This window comes from Homo sapiens, chromosome X, assembly GCF_000001405.40.
Source record: "Homo sapiens chromosome X, GRCh38.p14 Primary Assembly".
NCBI lineage: Eukaryota > Metazoa > Chordata > Mammalia > Primates > Hominidae > Homo > Homo sapiens.
The window spans coordinates 64,383,452-64,406,459 of record NC_000023.11 but is presented as its reverse complement, the minus strand read 5'-3'; the positions used below and the strand labels follow the sequence as shown (position 1 = coordinate 64,406,459).

At 41.6% G+C, this 23,008-nt stretch overlaps 1 protein-coding gene and 1 pseudogene across 2 annotated transcripts in view, besides 2 other annotated features; one reads left to right on the top strand and one right to left on the bottom strand.

Annotated features, from left to right (window-relative positions):
• Positions 1–323: 323 nt before the first annotated feature.
• Positions 324–1,140, bottom strand: PFN5P (profilin 5, pseudogene; annotated as a pseudogene). Its single transcript, NR_170298.1, has one exon. The product of NR_170298.1 is annotated as a profilin 5, pseudogene (transcript).
• Positions 10,821–11,110: an enhancer, noted in NCBI's record as "active region_29710". NCBI's record gives its function as "activates an Ori minimal core promoter by ATAC-STARR-seq in GM12878 lymphoblastoid cells {active_cell/tissue: GM12878}" and the evidence as "EXISTENCE:reporter gene assay evidence [ECO:0000049][PMID:35858748]".
• The window catches only part of MTMR8 (myotubularin related protein 8), a 127,372-nt gene continuing 115,371 nt past the window's right edge, over positions 11,008–23,008 (top strand). Inside the window, exon 1 of the mRNA NM_017677.4 lies at positions 11,008–11,120. Coding sequence (NP_060147.2) covers positions 11,097–11,120 — 24 coding nt within the window. The 5' untranslated portion in view covers positions 11,008–11,096. The remainder of the gene's footprint in view (positions 11,121–23,008) is intronic.
• Positions 11,121–11,380: an enhancer, noted in NCBI's record as "active region_29709". NCBI's record gives its function as "activates an Ori minimal core promoter by ATAC-STARR-seq in GM12878 lymphoblastoid cells {active_cell/tissue: GM12878}" and the evidence as "EXISTENCE:reporter gene assay evidence [ECO:0000049][PMID:35858748]".

Here is a 23,008-nt window from a genome sequence, read left to right as displayed (position 1 = left end):
CATCGTGCTTCCTCTACAGCCTGTGGAACCGTGAGCCAATTAATCCTCTTTTTCTCATAAATTACCCAGTCTCATATATTTCTTTATAGAAGTGCAAGAATAGACTAATACAGAAAGGTTGGTATTCTAGGTGCACACAATTGTTAAATAATGGACCAGATCCCAAACCGTTGAAGGAACTACTCTAACCCATATCTCTTCCCAACACACACACACACACACACACACACACACACACACACCTCCAAACCTGGTCTGGAATCTTCTATTTTCCTGAAGAACATATTAATTTAGTAGGTGAAACACATAACACTGAATTCAAATTACAGGTCAAACACCAACTATTTTTTATTTAGTTATAAATGGGCCACATGTTGCTCAATGGCCTCTCTGACATAACCTGCCATCTCAAAAGCTTCGAGGTTGAGAGGCCCTCCTTCTGTTCCTTTCTGTCCAATCACCACAAGCCTTACAGACTCGATCTGAACTACCGTCACTGCCCGGCTGCCCTGACTCTGGCCTTTGGTGCGCAGGTACATGGTGTTGTTGCCTTCAGTGTACAGATTGTCTCAAATCAACAAGCATTTGGTCCCTGCAAGGGTGACTCCTTGGAGAAACAATTTCTCTCTCCCCTCTCTTGCCAGTAAAATCTGAATTTCTTCCTGGGTCAACTGGAACAAGTTACCTTCAGAGTAAGATGCTAATAACCAGGGTGGGGAATTGGTGATAATTACTGCATCATAACATGTACCAGTCAGTAGGAAGAGAGTGAGGCATTCCTGCCAGACCTCTTCACTGACATCCTGTATACACTGCATGATTCAGGTAAGCTGTCTCTAGCAAGTTGGTCTTCAAAGGAAACTAGTTAGCACTTGGCTCAAGAAGTCTGATCAGCTGAGACTGAAATAAACTAAAAATACAGTCTCTTTCTTATGGCCTTTCCCCAGAAGCAAGGTAGAGGAGGTCTTGGTGACTTGAATAAAGTTGTGTCTCAGCTGCCATCTGCTGTGATTTATCAAGCTACCTCAAGAATAGGAGTGAGGTCACAAAGGTTCTGTGACTTTTTAAGGAGTCATAATCAACTATATCATTGGTGATTTCTGGCAGTAGCTTTCTGAGGCTGTATCTATAGCTATAAAGACAGTGGGTGCAAAGTATACTTACTTACTCCCCTGGTGTACTGTGGGAAAAATACCAACTCCCAATAGTAGGAAAGACCTTAGTAGAACATAAGTGGGAAATAATTGAGTTGAAGGCTTAGATGTGAAATAGGACAGGTGAGATTTACTGCAGTAATTAGTATCTCATATGTTGGTTAATCTTACTGAGACCCGAGCTATAGGTACAAAATCAAAAAGCCCACAGGACTGTCAGTTCACAACTTCTTTTGAGATGATCACAACAGCTTCCTACTTGGTTTCCTTGCCTCCAGACTTCTTCCCTTTAGTTTACCCTCTGGCCTACATTAGCTGTTAGTCCAAAGTCATTCATTTAGTTATTTATCAAACATTTACTCTTTGCCAAGAACTTGTCTAGGCAGTAGGGTACAGTAGTGAACAGAACAGAGACAAACTGCTGCCCTCATGGAGGTGACATTCTACAGGGAAGAAACAAATAATAGATGCTACTAGTATCTCTTTCACTGAAAATATTTTCATTAGCCTAGCAGTTTTTTCTTCCAGATTTTCTCTCTTATTTCCAGGCTTTCTCTATTCCTATGGGGGTACATTCTGACTTGCGGCTCTTCTGTAACCTTTGGCAAGTCAGTGTGAGTGCATCAGTTTACCCTGAAATGACACCAACTTGCCTTAAAAAGGGAATATTATGAGAAATCACTAATATTAATGGTGGGAAAAATATGAGCTACAGATAAAAATATTTGTTGTTTTTATTCAACAAATATTTATTGAGTACCTACTATGTGTTAGGACTATTCTAGACTTTGGAAATCCAACAGTGAACAAAAATCCCTGCCCTCACAGAGATGACATAATAGAGAGGGAGGTAATAAATGACAAATACACCTATAATATATCAGGTAGTATTGACAACTATGAAGGAAAAAAGTTAGGAGTGTAGAGAATGTTGGAGAAGAAGTAGTGATAGTTTTATTTTATATATGGTGTTCAGGTAGGTAAGGATTCTCTGATACAGAGACATTTCTTTTTTTTATTTTATTTTATTTTATTATTATTATACTTTAAGTTTTAGGGTACATGTGCACAATGTGCAGGTTAGTTACATATGTATACATGTGCCATGCTGGTGTGCTGCACCCATTAACTCGTCATTGAGCATTAGGTATATCTCCTAATGCTATCCCTCCCCCCTCCCCCCACCCCACAACAGGCCCCAGAGTGTGATGTTCCCCTTCCTGTGTCCATGTGTTCTCATTGTTCAATTCCCACCTATGAGTGAGAACATGTGGTGTTTGGTTTTCTGTCCTTGCAATAGTTTACTGAGAATGATGATTTCCAATTTCATCCATGTCCCTACAAAGGACATGAACTCATCAATTTTTATGGCTGCATAGTATTCCATGGTGTATATGTGCCACATTTTCTTAATCCAGTCTATCATTGTTGGACATTTGGCTTGGTTCCAAGTCTTTGCTATTGTGAATAGTGCCGCGATAAATATATGTGTGCATGTGTCTTTATAGCAGCATGATTTATAGTCTTTTGGGTATATACCCAGTAATGGGATGGCTGGGTCAAATGGCATTTCTAGTTCTAGATCCCTGAAGAATTGTCACACTGACTTCCACAATGGTTGAACTAGTTTACAGTCCCACCAACAGTGTAAAAGTGTTCCTATTTCTCCACATCCTCTCCAGCACCTGTTGTTTCCTGACTTTTTAATGATTGCCATTCTAACTGGTGTGAGATGGTATCTCACTGTGGTTTTGATTTGCATTTCTCTGATGGCCAGTGATGGTGAGCATTTTTTCATGTGTTTTTTGGCTGCATAAATGTCTTCTTTTGAGAAGTGTCTGTTCATGTCCTTTGCTCACTTTTCGATGGGGTTGTTTGTTTTTTTCTTGTAAATTTGCTGGAGTTCATTGTAGATTCTGGATATTAGCCCTTTGTCCGATGAGTAGGTTGTGAAAATTTTCCCCAATTTGTAGGTTGCCTGTTCACTCTGATGGTAGTATCTTCTGCTGTGCAGAAGCTCTTTAGTTTAATTAGATCCCATTTGTCAATTTTGGCTTTTGTTGCCATTGCTTTTGGTGTTTTAGACATGAAGTCCTTGCCAATTCCTATGTCCTGAATGGTAATGCCTGGGATTTCTTCTAGGGTTTTTATGGTTTTAGGTCTAATGTTTAAGTATTTAATCCATCTTGAATTAATTTTTGTATAAGATGTAAGGAAGGGATCCAGTTTCAGCTTTCTACATATGGCTAGCCAGTTTTCCCAGTACCATTTATTAAATAAGGAATCCTTTCCCCATTGCTTGTTTTTGTCAGGTTTGTCAAAGATCAGATAGTTGTAGATATGCGGCGTTATTTCTGAGGGCTCTGTTCTGTTCCATTGGTCTATATCTCTGTTTTGGTACCAGTACCATGCTGTTTTGGTTACTGTAGCCTTGTAGTACAGTTTGAAGTCAGGTAGCGTGATGCCTCCAGCTTTGTTCTTTTGGCTTAGGATTGACTTGGCGATGCGGGCTCTTCTTTAGTTCCATATGAACTTTAAAGTAGTTTTTTCCAATTCTGTGAAGAAAGTCATTGGTAGATTGATGGGGATGGCATTGAATGTATAAATTACCTTGGGCAGTATGGTCATTTTCACGATATTGATTCTTCCTACCCATGAGCATGGAATGTTCTTCCATTTGTTTGTATCCTCTTCTTTTATTTCGTTGAGCAGTTGTTTGTAGTTCTCCTTGAAGAGGTCCTTCACATCCCTTGTAAGTTGGATTCCTAGGTATTTTATTCTCTTCGAAGCAATTGTGAATGGGAGTTCACTCATGATTTGGTTCTCTGTTTGTCTGTTATTGGTGTATAAGAATGCTTGTGATTTTTGTACATTGATTTTGTATCCTGAGACTTTGCTGAAGTTGCTTATCAGCTTAAGGAGATTTTGGGCTGAGACAATGGGGTTTTCTAGATATACAATCATGTCATCTGCAAACAGGGACAATTTGACTCCCTCTTTTCCTAATTGAATACCCTTCATTTCCTTCTCCTGCCTAATTGCCCTGGCCAGAACTTCCAACACTATGTTGAATAGGAGTGGTGAGAGAGGGCATCCCTGTCTTGTGCCAGTTTTTAAAGGGAATGCTTCCAGTTTTTGCCCATTCAGTATGATATTGGCTGTGGGTTTGTCATAGATAGCTCTTATTATTTTGAGATATGTCCCATCAATACCTAATTTATTGAGAGTTTTTAGCATGAAGGGTTGTTGAATTTTGTCAAAGGCCTTTTCTGCATCTATTGAGATAATCATGTGGTTTTTGTCTTTGGTTCTGCTTATATGCTGGATTACATTTATTGATTTGCATATATTGAACCAGCCTTGCATCCCAGGGATGAAGCCCACTTGATCATGGTGGATAAGCTTTTTGATGTGCTGCTGGATTTTGTTTGCCAGTATTTTATTGAGGATTTTTGCATCAATGTTCATCAAGGATATTCGTCTAAAATTCTCTTTTTTTGTTGTGTCTCTGCCAGGCTTTGGTATCAGGATGATGCTGGCCTCATAAAATGAGTTAGGGAGGATTCCCTCTTTTTCTATTGATTGGAATAGTTTCAGAAGGAATGGTACCAGTTCCTCCTTATACCTCTAGTGGAATTCGGCTGTGAATCCATCTGGTCCTGGACTCTTTTTGGTTGGTAAGCAGTTGATTATTGCCACAATTTCAGATCCTGTTATTGGTCTATTCAGAGATTCAACTTCTTCCTGGTATAGTCTTGGGAGGGTGTATGTGTCGAGGAATTTATCCATTTCTTCTAGATTTTCTAGTTTATTTGCGTAGAGGTGTTTGTAGTATTCTCTGATGGTAGTTTGTATTTCTGTGGGATCGGTGGTGATATCCCCTTTATCATTTTTTATTGCATCTATTTGATTCTTCTCTCTTTTCTTCTTTATTAGTCTTGCTAGCGGTCTATCAATTTTGTTGATCTTTTCAAAAAAGTAGCTCCTGGATTCATTAATTTTTTGAAGCGTTTTTTCTGTCTCTATTTCCTTCAGTTCTGCTCTGATTTTAGTTATTTCTTGCCTTCTACTTAACTTTTGAATGTGTCCGCTCTTTCTTTTCTAGTTCTTTTAGTTGTGATGTTAGAGTGTCAATTTTGGATCTTTCCTGCTTCTCTTGTGGGCATTTAGTGCTATAAATTTCCCTCTATACACTGCTTTGAATGTGTCCCAGAGATTCTGGTATGCTATGTCTTTGTTCTCGTTGGTTTCGAAGAACATCTTTATTTCTGCCTTCATTTCGTTATGTACCCAGTAGTCATTCAGGAGCAGGTTGTTCAGTTTCCATGTAGTTGAGCGGTTTTGAGTGAGTTTCTTAATCCTAAGTTTTAGTTTGATTGCACTGTGGTCTGAGAGACAGTGTGTTATAATTTCTGTTCTTTTACATTTGCTGAGGAGAGCTTTACTTCCAACTATGTGGTCAATTTTGGAATAGGTGTGGTGTGGTGCTGAAAAAATGTATATTCTGTTGATTTGGGGTGGAGAATTCTGTAGATGTGTATTAGGTCCGCTTGGTGCAGAGCTGAGTTCAATTCCTGGATATCCTTGTTAACTTTCTGTCTCGTTGATCTCTCTAATGTTGACAGTGGGGTGTTAAAGTCTCGCATTATTATTATGTGGGAGTCTAAGTCTCTTTGTAGGTCACTCAGGACTTGCTTTATGCATCTGGGTGCTCCTGTATTGGGTGCATATATATTTAGGATAGTTAGCTCTTCTTGTTGAATTGATCCCTTTACCATTATGTAATGGCCTTCTTTGTCTCTTTTGATCTTTGTTGGTTTAAAGTCTGTTTGATCAGAGACTAGGATTGCAACCCCTGCCTTTTTTTGTTTTCCATTTGCTTGGTAGATCTTCCTCCATCCTTTTATTTTGAGCCTATGTGTGTCAATACAGAGACATTTCATCAGAGACCTGACAGAGATGAGGGAGTAAACATATAAATATCTGGGGGAAGAGCATTCTAGGCAAAGGAAATAACAAACATAAAGTCCCTGAGGCAGAAGAATGCCTGGTATATTTAAGAAACAGCAAGGAAATCAATATGACTTGAGGAGACAGAAAAAAGAGTGATAGAAGATTGATATAATAAGAGTTGTACTGGGCTTAGATATTATGTAGGGATTTATACACTATGGTTAATGTTTGGCTTTTACTCTAAAATGGAGAGCCGGTAGACAGTTTTAAATCAAGGAATCATATCATTCTAGATTTTAGATTCTAGTCCCATAGAAGATGCTATGTAGATTATAGGTTCTAGGGGGACCAAGGCCAAAACATGCAGACCAGCTGGAGGCTGTGGCAGCAATCCAGGTAAGAGGTAACAGAGGCTTGAGGCCAGGCACAGTGGCTCATTCCTATAGTCCCAGCACTTTGTGAGGTGGAGCTGGGAGGATTGCTGGAGTCCAGGAGTTGGAAACCAGCCTAGGCAACATAGAAAGACATTGTGTCCACTAAAAAAAATTAAAAAGAAAAAAATTTAGCCAGGCACGGTGGTACACCTGTAGTTCCATCTACTTGGCAGGCTGAGACAGGAGGATCACTTGGGCCTGGGAGTTGGAGGCTGCAGTGAGCTATGATCACACCACTGCACTCCAACCTCGTTGACAGAGACATTGTCTTAAAAAATAAAAAATAAAATAAAATAAAACAGAGGCTTGGGCCAGGATACAGCAGTGAGAAGTGATTGAATTTGGAGACAATTTTGAAGGAAGAACTCATGGGATTTGATGATGAATCAGGTGTGGGATATGAGAGAAAATGATGCCTCCAAGACTTTTGTCCTGAATGACTGTGCTATGTTTTAATGTTTGTGTCTCCTCCAAAATTGGTATTGAACCTTAATCCCAATGCAACAGTATTAAGAATTAATTATTAAGGGGCATTTAAAAGGTAATTAGGCCATGAGGGCTGTATTCTTACAGATGGGATCAGTGCCTTATAAAAGGGCTGGATGGAACTAGCCATGTGAGTATCTCCTGCTATGTGAGGATACAGCATTCATCACTCCAGATGGCATTTAAGATGTCATCTTGGAAGCAAAGAGAGAGCACTTCTCACCAGACACTGAACCTACTGGCACCTTGATCTTGGTTTTCCAGCCTTCAGAACTGTGATAATTACATTTCTGTTCTGTACAAATTATCCAGTCTAGAGTATTTAGTTTTGGCAGCACAAATGCACTAGGATAAACTTGGAAGGATAAAATTGCAATTTCCTGAGATGATAATACTGTGTAAAGAGCAGGCTTGAGGATTCAGGTGGAAATCAAAAATTCTGTTTTGGATGTAATAAGTTTGAGAGGTCTCTAAGATATCTGAGCAGACATGTCAGTAGGCTGCTGAATATTATGTAAGCTTTGAGTTCAGAGGACAGATAAAGATTAGAGATAAAATTTTGGGAGCTGTCCACAAATAGATGCTATTTAAAGCCATGGCACTGGATGACAGCACCCATGGAATAAGTGTAAATAAAGAAGAGGACCGGCCGGGCGCGGTGGCTCACGCCTGTAATCCCAGCACTTTGGGAGGCCGAGGCGGGCGGATCACGAGGTCAGGAGATCGAGACCATCCCGGCTAAAACGGTGAAACCCCGTCTCTACTAAAAATACAAAAAATTAGCCGGGCGTAGTGGCGGGCGCCTGTAGTCCCAGCTACTTGGGAGGCTGAGGCAGGAGAATGGCGTGAACCCGGGAGGCGGAGCTTGCAGTGAGCCGAGATCCCGCCACTGCACTCCAGCCTGGGCGACAGAGCGAGACTCCGTCTCAAAAAAAAAAAAAAAAAAAAAAAAAAAAAAAGAGGACCAACCTCTGAGCACTGGCAGCATTACAACATGTAGAGATAGGTAAAGTGAAGCGAAACAGCAAAAGAGATTGGGAATGAGAAGTCAGTGATGTAGGAGAGAGAGTGGTATCCCTATCCCTGGAGCCAAGTGAACAAAATGTATCAAGGAGAAGGGAGTGATCAAATACTGCTGAGAGGACAAAAAGAGATCTGAGGATGACCAATGGATTTTGCAATGGGGAGAATATTGGTAACTTTGACAAGAACAGTTTGGTGGAGTGGTGGAAGAAATGCCTGATTAGAGAGGTTTCAAGTGAGAATAGGATAGGAATAGAAGAGAATGGATTTAGATAAATCTTTTGAAGAGTTCTGCTGTAAAGTATAAGAGGAATGGGGGGATGGCAGGTTGGGGACAGAAATGTGCATCCAAAAAGATATTTTTTAAGATTGGAAATACTATGGAATGCTTTCATGCTGATGGCAGTGATCCAGTAAAGTGGGAACATTTAGTAATAAAGGCAAGGAAACAATTGAGCAGGCTAAAGAGAATGAAATTGAGTGGACAAGTGGAAGGGTTGCCTTAGGAAAGCTCAGGAAGAGTTCGTTAATTGAAGACAGATTATACGGGCTCACATGCAGGGCATCAAGCAAATTTGGTTTTGGGATGATGTGGAAGTTCCCTTCTCATAGCTTCTATTTTTATCAGCAAACTAGGAAGAAGGTAAGCATTTGAGAGAGAAAACAGAAATATTTGATAATAAAGTTGAGGAAAGGAAGGAACCTATCAATATTCATTGTGTCTTTACAATGTTCCTGGAACCTCATATACATTACATTTTGAATTCCCACAAGGACTTTAAGAGAATAGGTTTACAGCTGAGAAAACTAAGGCACAGAGAGTTTGTGTAATTTGCCCAGGGCCATGTATTATTAGCATATTGCTAAACCAAAATTTGAACCTTGTCTGACTAGAGTCCACACACTCTTTCCACTATCCTAAACAGCATGGAAACAAGGTTTTGAGTCTGAGTAACTGGGTATATGGTGGTGCAATTAGTAGGGATAGGAAAAACTTGAGAAAGAGCAAGTGATAGAGGTGGGAAAATGCAAGGGGGTTGTGAGACAGTGTGAAAGATGAGTTTGTTTTGGGCCATGATGCCTTTAATGTGCTAGCAGGAACATGCAAGTAGAACTGTCAGAGGGCAATTGGAAGTTCTAAATTTGAACTCAGGAAAAAGGTCATGGTACTTGAGATATGAAGTTGGGTGTCCCCTACTGAGGGTTCATTAGCCCCTTTTCACACTGCTATAAATAAATAACCGAGACTGGGTAATTTATAAAGAAAAGAAGTTTAATTGGCTCACCGTTCTGCAGGCTGTACAGGAAGCATAGTGGCTTCTGGTTCTGGGGAGGCCTCAGGAAACTTCCAGTCATGGTGGAAGGCAAATGGGGAGTGAGGCACTTCACATGGCCAGAGCAGGAGGAAAATGGGCAGGGAAAGGTGCCACACACTTCTAAGCCATCAGATCTCGTGAGAACTCACTCACTATGGCAACGACAATACCAAGGAGGCTAGTGTTAAACCATTCAGAAGAAACCACCCCCATGATCCAATCACCTCCTACCAGGCCCCACTTCCAACGTAAGGGATTACAATTAAACATGAGATTTGGTGGGGACACAGATCCAAGCCATATCCAGGAGTAAGGGTTTAACTTGTGGAAGAGATCAAGATAACCAAAAGAAAGAAAATAGAAGAGGAATGAGGATAGAAGCCAGGAAAATGGCTTAAAAAAAAGAGAAAGTTGCTGGGAAGGAGTCAGAGAAGGAACAGTTGGGGATGCAGGCAGTGAGTTTGTTTATAATAAAGGTCAAGGGAAGAAAGAATGTCAAAAAGGAATATGAATCAATAGTTTTAAATGCTGTAAAACAAATAGAAAACGAGCACTGAGAAGAGCTGTTGGAATCAGCAGCTGGAATTTAGGATGATGTGAAAGAGCCAATTGAGTGGAGTGGTAGGGAGGAGTGAGTTTGTTATGGAGAAGTGAAGGTGATGATAAGTAGACTATTCTTTTGAGATATTTGGCAGTGAAAGGGCTGAACATGATGGAACGATGGTACAAGGGAGAATAGGGTCATGGATCGAGGGAAGGGCCTTCAGGCTAGGGAAGAAGGCAGAATATGATAAACGAGTAATTTTGCTAGCAAATGTTATAAGAACTCAAAGAAGAACAAAATTATTTTGTAGGGGCAGTGAGATTGCAAACCATAACACTGCAATAGTAGAGCTAGAAATTACCCTGAGATAGTGGCCAATACCCTCATTGTAACCTTGGTCAACTTAAGACCCAGAGAGGTGGCATGATTTCCCCAAGGTCACATAGCAAGTTAGTGGCAGACCTGAGAGGAGTAGAATCCAGATTTCCCAACTCTCAGATTGTTCTTTTTTCCACCACAAATCTGACTTGGAGCACACCACTGAGGGTCTGCACCTATTTACCCCTCATCTGATAGCTGGTCCAGTGGGCCCTTTCTTGGTCCTCTTCCCATATCTACGATGGCAAAAGTGATGAGGATACTGTAGTATTCCAGATTTTAACTAGGTTGATGGCAGCAGACACATAAAGGAGAGATAGAGAGGAGGATATACCTTTCCATATTTCAAAAAATATTCTCTGGTGACTTGCCCAAGGTCTCACAGCTAGGAAGCTCTTCAGAAACCCAATTGCCAGCATGGGGCAGCCTGTGTTACTGCTGCAGGATGCTATCATTGTAATATTAGAGTAAAGGAGTGATATCTGTGTTCAGAGCCCTTATAGCATCAAGAAGGGTGAGAAGGGTGGCAGTACTCGAATCTGGGACTTAAAGACTCGGCCAAACGTTGAACCTGAACCAGAATAATCAATTTCCCGAAGAAAAGGGCACTTGCCAGGAAGCAAGATGGCGGGAACGGCTACGGTCAAAGTGTCGCGATAGGAGCTTTCGCCGAGGATCAGGTGACGAGAGTTTGAGCCAGGACCGGGAGGGCGGGGGTAGAAACCCGGGTTGAGGCAGGAGGCGGCTAGACCGGTGGCGGCGGCATCTGGAGTAGCACTGAGATCTTCCGGTGGCGGGAACTGCAGTCATGGATCATATTACGGTACCCAAGGTAAGGAGAAGAGTTAAGCGAGGCTGACAGCCGCGAGCTTCCTCTTGGTGCTCACCTGGGAGCCCAGACACACCTCCTCAGCCTTCTCAGCCTTCTTTGACGCGTCTTTCCTGTGGGGGGTCCCGGGTTCTCTTTCTGGGTCCACACCCCCTTTCAACCAAACACCTCTTCTTAGGATCTGCTTGCGGGCGTCAGCGGCCGGGAAAGAGGTGGTCTGCACCACTGTCCCCTTACGCGACGCCGCCCCCGCTCCTGGTGCACGCCTGTTCTGGCCCTCTGACTCCAGCTCCTCCCTAGCCTTGACCTCACACTCACCCTTATCTCAGCTTTTTATACTAGCTGCACTTGTAACCGCCATTCGCGAATACCCCACATTGCTCTGCCTCCTGCGGAGTTACTTCCTTTATCGAGCGTTTCTTCACCATCCTCTTGGCTCCTCCAGCCACTAACCTTCCCCAGGGATTGCCCAGAACCCCACTCTCGCTCCAGCTCCACGGCATGCCTGTGAGGGTTTGTGGGGGCCACAGCATCTCTTCAGCCAAAGCTGGGCAATGGAAAAGGAAGAGGAGTGGGGCAGAGTGGATCTGGCTCTGCTCAGCCGGTAGGAGAAACCCAAGAGGTTTATCTAGCCAGTTGTCACCTGTTTTTAGCCAGTCCCGAGTTAGAGTTACTTCTGCTACTTTTTCCTCTCATCTTTCCAGATCCTACTCCCTCCCTTCCCAACGCCAGCCCCTTTCTGTTTCAAATCCACTTCCCTCCTTTCTCCTGTCTGGGGCTGGGGAACAGTGAAAAATTCACAACTAGTCTGTGGTTATTTTTTCCTGTTGATCATAACACACGTGGTCCAGGCTAATTGAAGTCCTGGTAAAAAATCCAGCGTGTTTTTAATGGAAAGAGCATGGATTTTGAAGCCAGAAGACTTGAATTAAAGTGCTGCCCACTGCACCCCCACCAACTACTTAGCTAATGACTTTGGACAAATTATTTAACCTCTCTGAGCCTTAGCTTTCCTCACCTACTGATAGGGTTTTTCTCTGTGTCCCCACCCAAATCTCCTCTTGTAGCTTCCGTAATTCTCACGTGTTGTGGGAGGGACCCGGTGGGAGACGGTTGAATCATGGGGGCAGGGCTTTCCTGTGCTGTTCTTGTGATAGTGAATGGGTCTCATGAGATCTGATGGTTTTAAAAACGGGAGTTTCTTTGCACAGGCTCTCTCTTTGCCTGCTGCCATGCATGTAAGATGTGACTTGCTCCTCCTTGCCTTCCTCCATAATTGTGAGGTCTCCCCAGCCATGTGGAACTGTTAAGTCCAATAAACCTCTTTGGTAAATTGCCCAGTCTTGGGTATGTCATCAGCAGCGTGAAAACAGACTGATACACCTACCAAATGAGGATAATGAAATTTGCCCGGCTCACTTCACAAGATGGTTGTGGGATTAAATAAGAGGATGTGTGTGAAAGAGTTTTTGTAACTAGTAATGTTTTGCCCACTTTTTAGCATAAAACTTTGATGCTGCCTGATGGGCAAAGCACAAACTCCAACCTTTAACCTTTTTTTCTGACTCCCTCCTCTTCAGGGCCTTTCTCTGTGGAGGATAACCACATCCCGTGTAAAAGCCAGCCAGCCTTGCCTTTTTCTGTGTCCCTTTGTTTCCGGATCATGTCATTTGTACGGGTCCTCTGACATGGTATAAGAAGGTGGTACCATTAAAGGAAAGGAACTTCTGTTGTCCAGACTCCCTCTTCTCCCAACCCACCTAAGCTTGGGCCACGTTACTTGTCTAGTTCAAAATCAGCTCACTCGAATACTCCTTTTTTCTCTCTTTTGACAACTGGGGAAGATGGGGAGGCAGAACTGCTCCTGTCCTTGAGTGTTAAAATATTAAAATTCCCCTGTTAGGGATTGAAGCTATAAACTGGGCTGGCTCTATGGAAATTGGAAGGGAGAAGAAACCATTAACGGGCCCATATGAAAATTATAATAGCAGCTAATACGTATAGAATATTTAACTATGTGACAGGCACTGTGTTCAATATTTTACCTGAAATATGCCTTGAATCCTTACAATAACCTATTAGGAGATACTATTATTATTCCCATGTTACAGATGAGGAAACTGAGATCCATAGATGTGGAATGCTTGCCTAATAAACAAAGATAGGAGTGCTCAGACTGGTGCTGGGATAGGGTTCGTGCTCAAGAAAACTTAAACTTGCATCATGGTCAGACTCCATTTGTACTGCATGGATAGTGTGATTAGTCTTGAAATATAAATAAAAACTCCAAATGAAGACTTGATTCTTTAAGCAGAATTAGTATTTGTTTTGGTGCCTGGCAGGGCTGTGAGTGCCCACAGGTGGTATGCTGCTGTGAGTCTGTTTTTTTCTCAGTTTCTAGAAAGGATTAGGGTTGCATTAATGGCTCGGGATTAAAATGGCCTCCCTTTTGTTAACTCACTGTTTCCATAAAAGAGAGAGACATCTGCCTTGTCCATCTCAGGTCAAAGGGATAACTTTGAGTTTGTCAGTCATTAGTTGTGTATGTCAAGTACAAAAGTGACTTTTATTTTTGGCTCTTGCTTGAGTCTTTTTCTTTACTCAGGAAGACTTTAAAAAATTATTGAAGTACAGTACACATAAAGAAAAGTGTATAGATTGGAAGTATTCATTGTGCTATAAACTTAAAAACTGGACACACCTGTGCAACCGCTACTGAGATTAAAAAAAACAAAAACAAAAAACAAACAAACAAACAAAAAAAAGAACATTACTAGAAGTCCACTTCATGCCCCCTTCCAGTCAATACCCCTCCCAAGGGTAAACTACTATACTGACCTCTAACAGGATACATTCATTTTACTCTTTTGTTGTACTTAATATAAATGGATTAATACATTCTCTTTTGTGTTTGACTTCTTTTGCTCAACATTGTTTGAAAGATTTATCCATATTATTTCTTGAAGTTATAGATCATTCTCATTGCTATATTATGTTTTGTTAACATGCCACATGTGATTTATCCATTCTTCTGTTGATGGGGAATTTCCAGTTTCTGCCTTTTGCCAATAGTACATTTTGACAGATTTAAATATACATTTTTGTTGGTATATGCCATCGGAGTGGAATTTCTGGGCCGTAGAATATGCATATGTTCATCTAGACACTACCAATTTTACATTCCCACGACCTATGTATGAGAACAGATCTATCTAAGATATAGCTTAGGGTTCAACAACCATTTTTGGAGCGTCTCAGACCTGCCCTAAAGTTTGGTGACTCTCCTATCTGAATCAGAATTTGTTCTATGTATTTTTCCCTACCCTCATTACATCTGTGTCAGTTGGCACCCAGAATTCTTAATTACTTTTCTTTCCTGGAATGGAACCTTAATAATAAGGCTTTATGCAATTAACATTTATTGAGCTTCAACTGGTTTGACAATTTGCTGTGGTTTAAGAGTGCATACTTTGGAGCCAGGCTGTCTGAAATAAAATCTCAACTCTGCTACTTAACTAGCTTTGTGATTTTGGCAAATATATAATCTCTTTTGCCTCAGTTTCTTCATCTATAAGATGGTGTTGAAAATAGTACCTATCTCACAGGGTTGTTATAAGAATTAAATAAGTTAGTATCTGTAAAGTGCTTAGAACAATGTCTGGCACATGGTAGATGCTTAATTTAGCTACCAGTCACTATCATCATCGTTATTAATTATTATATGCAGAATATCACATTGGGAGTCAAGGATACATAACTGGATATGGATATGGCAACTGCCCTCTGGGATCTCTTAAGTAAGGTGATGAGATGCCAAGCACAAGGTCCAAAAATGAAAGAGACTGAAAAATATGTCTATTCTGTCTTGTGATCTGATGGGAGCAGCCTGACAGGCAGGGAGAAGCTCTTCCAAGTTTACAGCCTCTTAGACCTCAATAACTACTCTAGAGAATAGTGTTATGTGTTTAATTCATGAATCTCTTTAATCAAGGACAAGGATAATTTAGTCAAAAATCTGTTTTCTGGACTCTCCTTCACATAAATAATTGCTAGCTCATTAAGGAATGTTTTAACACAAAAAAAGTAATTTCTACATTTGTGTGGGTAGAAAAAAAAGACAGTGAAAGATTTTATAGATTGTAAAGGACTTTGAATGTTACACTGAGGAATTTGAACTTGTAAATAGCCAAGGAGCTACTAAAGCTTTATAAGTCTAGAAATGGAAAAGTTAGAAAGGACCTTTTAAAAGATTATCTAAATGAGGAATGGGGATGAAGTTTCTTTTTGGAATGATGGAAATGTTCTAAAATTACATTGTGATGATGGTTGTACAACTCCAAATTTACTAAAACTAATTGAATTGTATACTTAAAAGAGTGAATTTGTCTGGGCCTGGTTGGCTCAAGCCTGTAATCCCAACATTTTGGGAGCCCCAGATGGGAGGATCACTTGAGCCCAGGAGTTTGAGACCAGCCTGGGTGACATAGTGAAACCTCATCTGTACAAAAAATTAAAAAAAATTAGCTGGGTGTGGTGGCTTGCACCTGTGGTCTCAGCTACTCGAGAGGCTGGGGGGGCGGTGGGGATGGCTTGAATCTGGGAGGTCGAGGCTGCAGTGAGCTCTGATAGTGCCACTTCACTCTGGCCTAGGCGACAGAGTGACATCCTGTTTCAAAAAAAAAGGGTGAATTTTATGGTATGTAAATTATAGTTCAATAAAGCTGCTAATAACGAAGTTAATTAATAAATAAAGATCATCTAGTGATGGTCCAAGCCTCTCATTTCACAGATGTGAAAACTGAGTCCAGAGAGCTAGAGTTTTTTATCCAAGGTCAAACATCTAGCAAGTAGCAGAGGTAGCATTGTCTTTTAATTGTTTAGTATGCATAGCTTGTTCAGACTATAATAAACTGTGGAGTTATCACAGAAACGACATCCAAAATAATTGGAGTGCCAGATGGGTACAGAATGCTATCCTGGATAGTAATAATAAAAAATAATAACACTTTGTAGTATGTTAATAACACTTTGTAACACTTTGTAGTACCACACAGGAGATTACAATTTGTATGAAGCTTTCTTAAAAGCAGATAATTTTTGCCTTTACTTCCAGGAAACTAAGGCCAAATGTTCAGTCATGTTAACTACATTAGCCCTTGTACTTAGCATAATTGCTTCCTCCCAGTCTTCATGGCTTTGGTTTTCATTCTAATAACCTATTTGTAGATCTGTCTTTTATTATAAACAACCTGAAATGCATTTAGACAAGAAGCAGGGTCAAAATAAAGAAACATAAAACTGGGTAAAGAAGTGTTTTTCATTATGAAGGAAATGAGATTTCCAGAGGTGAGAATTGTGCTCCCCTTCCAGTTCCCAAAATTGCAACTCCAGTTGGCTTCACTGTGATCCTTCCAGTCTAGGAAATAGTGTGATATAATGGAAAAAGCATGGACAAAGCTGGCTTTGAATTCAATCTATATTATTTATTAGCTCTGAGTTCTTGGGCAATCACTTAAACACTCTGAGTCTGTTGGGACTATGATGAAGATTAAGATAAGGTATGATGAGGGCCTGGCACATTATAAGTGCTCTATAACTGTGTGTTTTTTCCTCTCTCCATCAGAGCCAAACAATAGTAGAGGCTTTAGTATACATTAGTCATGGGAGGTGTCAAAGATCAGCCTGTCTCAGGGAGATTTGCCTGAGCATCCAGAAAGGCTCTTGGTACTACATTGCAAGGAAAGAGGCTACCTAGAAAGCCCTGGTGGCAGTGGTCTGGCATTTTAGACACTGTTTTATAGGCATTGGAATAATTTTCCTCACCACCAAAACCCACTCCTTCAACCTCATTTTGTACTTGGGAAACCCCAACTAAGCAGTTACTCCTAGAAACCACTGGGATTTGTTTTAGGGTTGTGTCTTTTTAGATATCATTTTCTGGTTTTTGTGGTAAAATACTTAAGTGCTTTAGAGAGACGTTTTGCTAAGTACTAAAGACATTTTCATCATTTGAGACACCAATACTAGACAGAGAGTTAGGAGACCTGAATTCTGGCCCCACTTCTGATACTGACATGCTATGTGACCTTAGACTGTCTTTTTACCTCTCTAGGCTTCACTTTCTTCATCAGTAAAATAATATTTAACCTTTATAGAGCAATTGCTATGTGCCAGGTACTATTCTAAGTGCTTTATGTAAGTATTACATATTTATATGCTAATTTAACCCTTGCAACAATACTATTATCTTCATTTTAAATATAAAGAAAGCATCCAGAAAGCTTAAGCAACTTGCCCAGAGCTGGAAATACGAAGCCAAACAGTCTGTGACCCAAGTTTGTGCTCTTTACCCATGTACTATAGTGCTTCAATAAAATGAGCTGAGTGGATATACTAGCATTTCCTAAACTATGTTCCTGATGAACACTAGTCCCACAAGATAATTTGTTTTAAAAAAATGATTCTAAGGTAAAATATATTAACACCACAAACACTGTGGAGATTCATAGTGAACGTTCACCTATTAAAGGCTCCGAGAAGCCCTGCAATAAACCTGCTTATGTTTGTTTCACCCAGTGTTCCCCTATGCTGACCACAGAACTGTGTGTGTGCATGTGTGTACATGCCTATTAACATCTGTGGAACTAGGATTCATAGAACATGCCTTAAGAAATGCTGGTATCAATCTGGAAGGTTCCTTCTAACTCTTGAGTGCTTTCAGCATTTAAAAATGATAGATGTGGGGACTGCAAGATGCAGGATTCCTTTCCAAGTCTGAAATTTGCTTTAGTTGGAGGCACATGGAGAAGTAGGGTGTGGAGAGGCATAAGTTCAAGGCTAGTCTGGATTGTATTTTTAACACTTAACCTTCAATGACCTTGTACATCTTGACACAAAAGTATTCCACCATTCCCCTTCCTTCCTCCTGTTACATATTTTCTCGCTTATTACTTTAAAGAAGAGACCTAAATTAGAGAGGCTTGTCATAAAAGCCTGCCGTTTTTAATACATACAGGGCACAGCAGTTGTTTTCATGATGAATGCTCTCTGCTGTTGGGGGCAATGACACAAGGGGCAGGACTTGCTTGGGACATGGATGTGACTGATGAATATCATTACACTGGTTGGTATTCTAGAGCCAGGTGTCACTTCTTTTATTTATTATTGCAGTGCATCTAACTTGTTACCAATAATTGTGGCAAATCAGGACAGTAGATGGATTCAGAGACCTCTGAAGTACACCTGATTTCCTCTCTTCCTCCCTTCCTAGAAAGAAAATGAGAAAAACAAACAGATAAACGTGGATTATGGTTCACAGCTTCTCCAAGAGCAAAGTTCTTATAAATGTCAGAGTGCTCTATCTACAGCTCAGGAGTGGAGAAATAACAAAACAATTGGGTGGCCTGCCTGGGAATTAAAATCTGTACCGTACCTAGTGGTGGTCAGCCTCTTTTCTCTCCTTTTCTCTCTTTTTTCATCTTTCTCTGTCTCCTTCTCTTTACTCTGCCTCTCTTCTCCTTTTTCTTCTCTCTCCTCCTCCCTCCTTTCCTCTCTCCTCCCTTCTTTTTTACCTTCCCTCTTGCATCCCTTTCTCTCCCCTTCCTTTTTGTCTTTTCCTTCTCTCTCCCCCCAATCTCTCTCTCTCATTCTCTCTTCCCCTCACCCCCAACCCCACACACATATTCTGTGAGACCTCAGTTTCTGCCAGGTAAAAGCACTACCGGTAGTGCTTTATAACACTGTATCAGAAACAGATGGGGCCCTGGTGCCTTTGAGTAGAAAGAGGGGAGGGTCTGAGTAACTGCAAGTCTCCTAGAAGGTCCTACCTGCTAATAGGCACAGGATTCCTGCCTTTGGGAGACATACTATAGAGGAAGTTCAGCCTGGATATCAATAATTTTCCCCTCCCTTCAGGCTTCCTCAAAGACTGTTCTTTAAGTGTCACACAGCACTCTTTGTACTTGCATAATGTAGCCGTTTGGTAGGTAGTGCCCTGGGCCTTAGCAGGAATTTCTTCTGAGTGGCCAGTTTTTCCTCTTGTTGAGCATCTCCTACCATTCAGGACTGCATAAGGATCTCTGGGACAGTCAGGAGAAAGCTAAAGATGCTTTGTTTTTTTCAATTCCTACTACTCATCCCTTGACCATTTCTTTCCCCTGAAGTGTGACTTCTTTTCCTGAGTGTGAGTGAGTGAGGCCCTGTGCAATTGACACTGATGTTTTTCTTTTAATCTAATCACAATACACTTTGTCTAGCAGGGGCAAGCCTAGTTTCTTTCTTTTCTTTTTTGAGACAAGGCCTTGCTCTGTCGCCTGGGCTGGAGTGCAGTGGCATGAACTTGGCTCACTGCAGCCTCAACTTCCCAGGCTTAAGCGATCCTTCCCACCACAGCCTTCTGAGTGGCTGGGACCACAGGAGCATGGCCCCACACATGGCTAATTTTTTTAGCATTTTTTTTTTTTGTAGATATGAGGTCTCACTATGTTGCCCAGGCTGGTCTTGAACTCCTGGGCCCAAGCAATCCTCCTACTTGGGCCTCCCAAAGTTCTGGAATTACAGGTGAAAGCCACTGTACCTGGCGCTTTTTGACTTTTAGTTGGCTGAAATGATGACATGCTTTCACCAAACTATTTCTATCATGTTTACATATCCTTCTGCATTGAGATTAGCACAATGCCTCCCTGCAGCTTCCCCATCAGGTAAGGAAATGGTTTATACCCATGGTTCTCTTGCTGTAGTTCTTTGCAGCTTTTCCCATAAGTATTTTCCGTGGTGGTAGGGGGAGTGTTCTACTTATTCTGTGCCTGAAGATTCCTGTGAGTTGTTTTTCCCCTCTCATCCCCATGTGGGTTTTTGGTTTTAAAGTGCCCCCTGAATTCTGAGAGTTCTTTTTCATTTATCTTACACTGGTCCCTCTGGCTTTTCACTTAACTGTTTAATCCTTCTCTGGCCTTGTCCCACCTTGCTCCCTCCTTTCTATAGCTGGCCCCTTGTAGCTGACTTCACTTGCATCTGCTTCTCCAGCCACCCTTTAGCCACCTTCTATATTATCAAAAGACAAAATTACAAGAAAATTTAGTTATAGATCTAATTCATGAATTGGGGAACCTCCATTCTACAAAATAGAATGAGCGTTCCCACTGGGCATTAACAGAACAGTGTATTTTGTAAGGTGGGAACCGGAAAACAGAATAGAATAAAAATAATCAGTTAACATGAGGTTACTTCAGGTTACTTTTTTTTTTTGTCAGGGTGAAAGCAGAGAAGACTTCCTTATTAAGCTGATTCAGGTAGATTGGAGTCTCCTGTTTTCAGGAAAAACTGGTCCGTTTGGGGATCTGTATGTTTCTTTAAAGTTTCAGTTTGATTATGAGACATTTAACTTGAGTGACTCCCTATTGGTTTGGTCTGGCCTCTTGGGACCAAGTGCAGGAGCTCTGTCCAAAACAATGGTCTCTGATGTGATTAGGATCTTTGTCCCCACCAAGTCTCAAGTTGAATTGTAGTCCCCAATGTTGAAGACGGGGCCTAGTGAGAGGTAATTGGATCATGGGGATGGACTTCTCATGAATGGTTTAGCACCATCCTTCTGGTGCTGTCCTCATGATAGTGAGTGAATTATGAGATCTGGTTGTTTAAAAGTATGTGGCACCTCACCGCCTACCCTTGCTCTTGCTCTGCCATGTGAGATGCCTGCTCTCCCTTCACCTTCCACCATGGTTATAAGCTTCCTGAGGCCTCCCAAGAAGCTGTGCAGATACCACCACCATTCTTCCTTTAAAGCCTTCAAAACTGTGAGCCAATTAAACCTTTTGTCTTTATAAATTACCCAGTCCCAGATATTCCTTTATAGCAATGCAAGAACAGCCTAATACAGAAAATTGATACCGAGGAGTGGGGCATTACTATAAAGATACCTGCAAACCTGGAAGCAGCTTTGGAACTGGGTCATGGGCAGAGGTTGGAAGAGTTTGGAGGGCTCAGAGGAAGACAGGAAGATGAGGGAAAGTTTGGACCTTCCTAGAGACTGGTTAAATGGTTGTGAACAAAATGCTGATAGTGATATGGACAATGAAGTCCAGGCTGATGAGGTCTCAGGTGGAAACAAAGAACTTACTGGGAACTAGAGCAATAGTCACATGTGTTATGCCTTAGCAAAGAACTTGGCTGGATTGTGTCCATGCCCTAGGGATCTGTGGAAGTTTGAGCTTGAGAATGATGATTTAGTGTATCTGGCATGAAAAAAATTCTAATCAGCAAAGTGTTCAAGAATGGCATGGCTGCTTCTAACTGCCTATGCTCAGATGCACGAGCAATGAAATGTCCTAAGGTTGGAACTTATATTTCAGGGTATAAAAATTTGGAAAATTTGAAGCCTGGCTATGTGGTAGAAAAGAAAAGCACATTTTCAGAAGAAGAATTCAAATGGGTTCCTGAGCAACCACTTGCTGGATAAATTTGCATAACTAAAAATGAGGCAAATAGTGATAGCCAAGACAATGGGAAAAAGACCTCAAAGGCATTTCAGAGACCTTAATGGCAGCCCCTCCCATCACAGACCCAGAGACTTAGGAGGAAGAATAGTTTTGTGGGTCAGGCCGAAGGCCCTGCAGCCCTGGGCATCCTTAAGACACTGGTTCTCAAATCTGGGCTACTCTGGCTCCAGCCTTGGCACAAAGGGGCCCAGATATAGCTTGGATTCTAGCTCCAAAGGGTTCAAGCCATAAGCCTTGGTGGCTTCCACATGGTGTTAAGCTTGCAGGGGCACAGATTGCAAAAGAGGAAGCTTGGGGGCCTCTGCCTATATTTCAGAGGATGTATGAAAATGCCTGGGTACCCAGGCAGAAGCCTGCTACAGGGGCAGAGCCCTCACAGAGAACCTCTACTAGGGCAGTATAGAGGAGAAATGTAGGGTTGGAGCCTACACACAGAGTCTCCACCAGGGCACTACCTAGTGGAGCAGTGAGAAGGAGGCCACCACCCTCTAGACCACAGAATGGGAGATCCACTGGTAGTTTGCACCCTGCACCTGAAAAACCTGGAGGCATTCACCTACAACCTGTGAGAGCAGCTGCAGGTTCTGAACAATGCAAAACCACAGGGGCAGAGATGCAGAAGGCCTTCAGAGTCCACCCCTCACAGCAGTGTGCCCTGGATGTGGGACATGGAGTCAAAGGATATTATTTACTTAGGAGTTTTAAGTTTTAATGACTGCTCTGCTGGGTTTTGTACTTGCATGGGGCCTATAACTCCTTTCTTTTGGCTGATTTTTCCCTTTTGGAATGGAAATGTTTACCCAATGCTTATAACCCCATTGTATCTTGGAAGTAGCTAACTTGTTTTTGATTTTACAGGCTAGAAAGTAGAAGGAACCTACCTTGTTTCAGATGAGACTTTGGACTTTTGAGTTAATGCTGGGATGAGTTAAGATTTTCTGGGGATGATTGGGAAGGCATGATTGTATTTTCCAATGTGAGTAGGACATGAGATTTGGGGGACCAGGAGCAGAATGATATGGTTTGGTTCTGTCCCTACCAAACCTCATGTTGAATTATAATCTTTGGTGTTGGAGGTGGGAACTGGTAGGAGGTGATTGGATGATGGGGGTGCATCTCTCATGAGTGGTTTAGTACCATCCTTCTAGTGCTGTTCTCATGATATTGTGTGAGTTCTCATGAAATCTGGTCATTTGAAAGTGTGTGGCTTCTTCCCCCCATTTTACTTCTTCTCTCGCAGTGTGAGTGCCTGCTCCCTCTTCACCTTCCACCATGATTGTGAGTTTCCTGAGGCCTCCCTAGTAGCTGAGTACATGCCAACATCATGCTTACTGTACAGCCTGCAGAACCATGAACCAAATTATATAATATATAATAAATTATGTATGTATAATA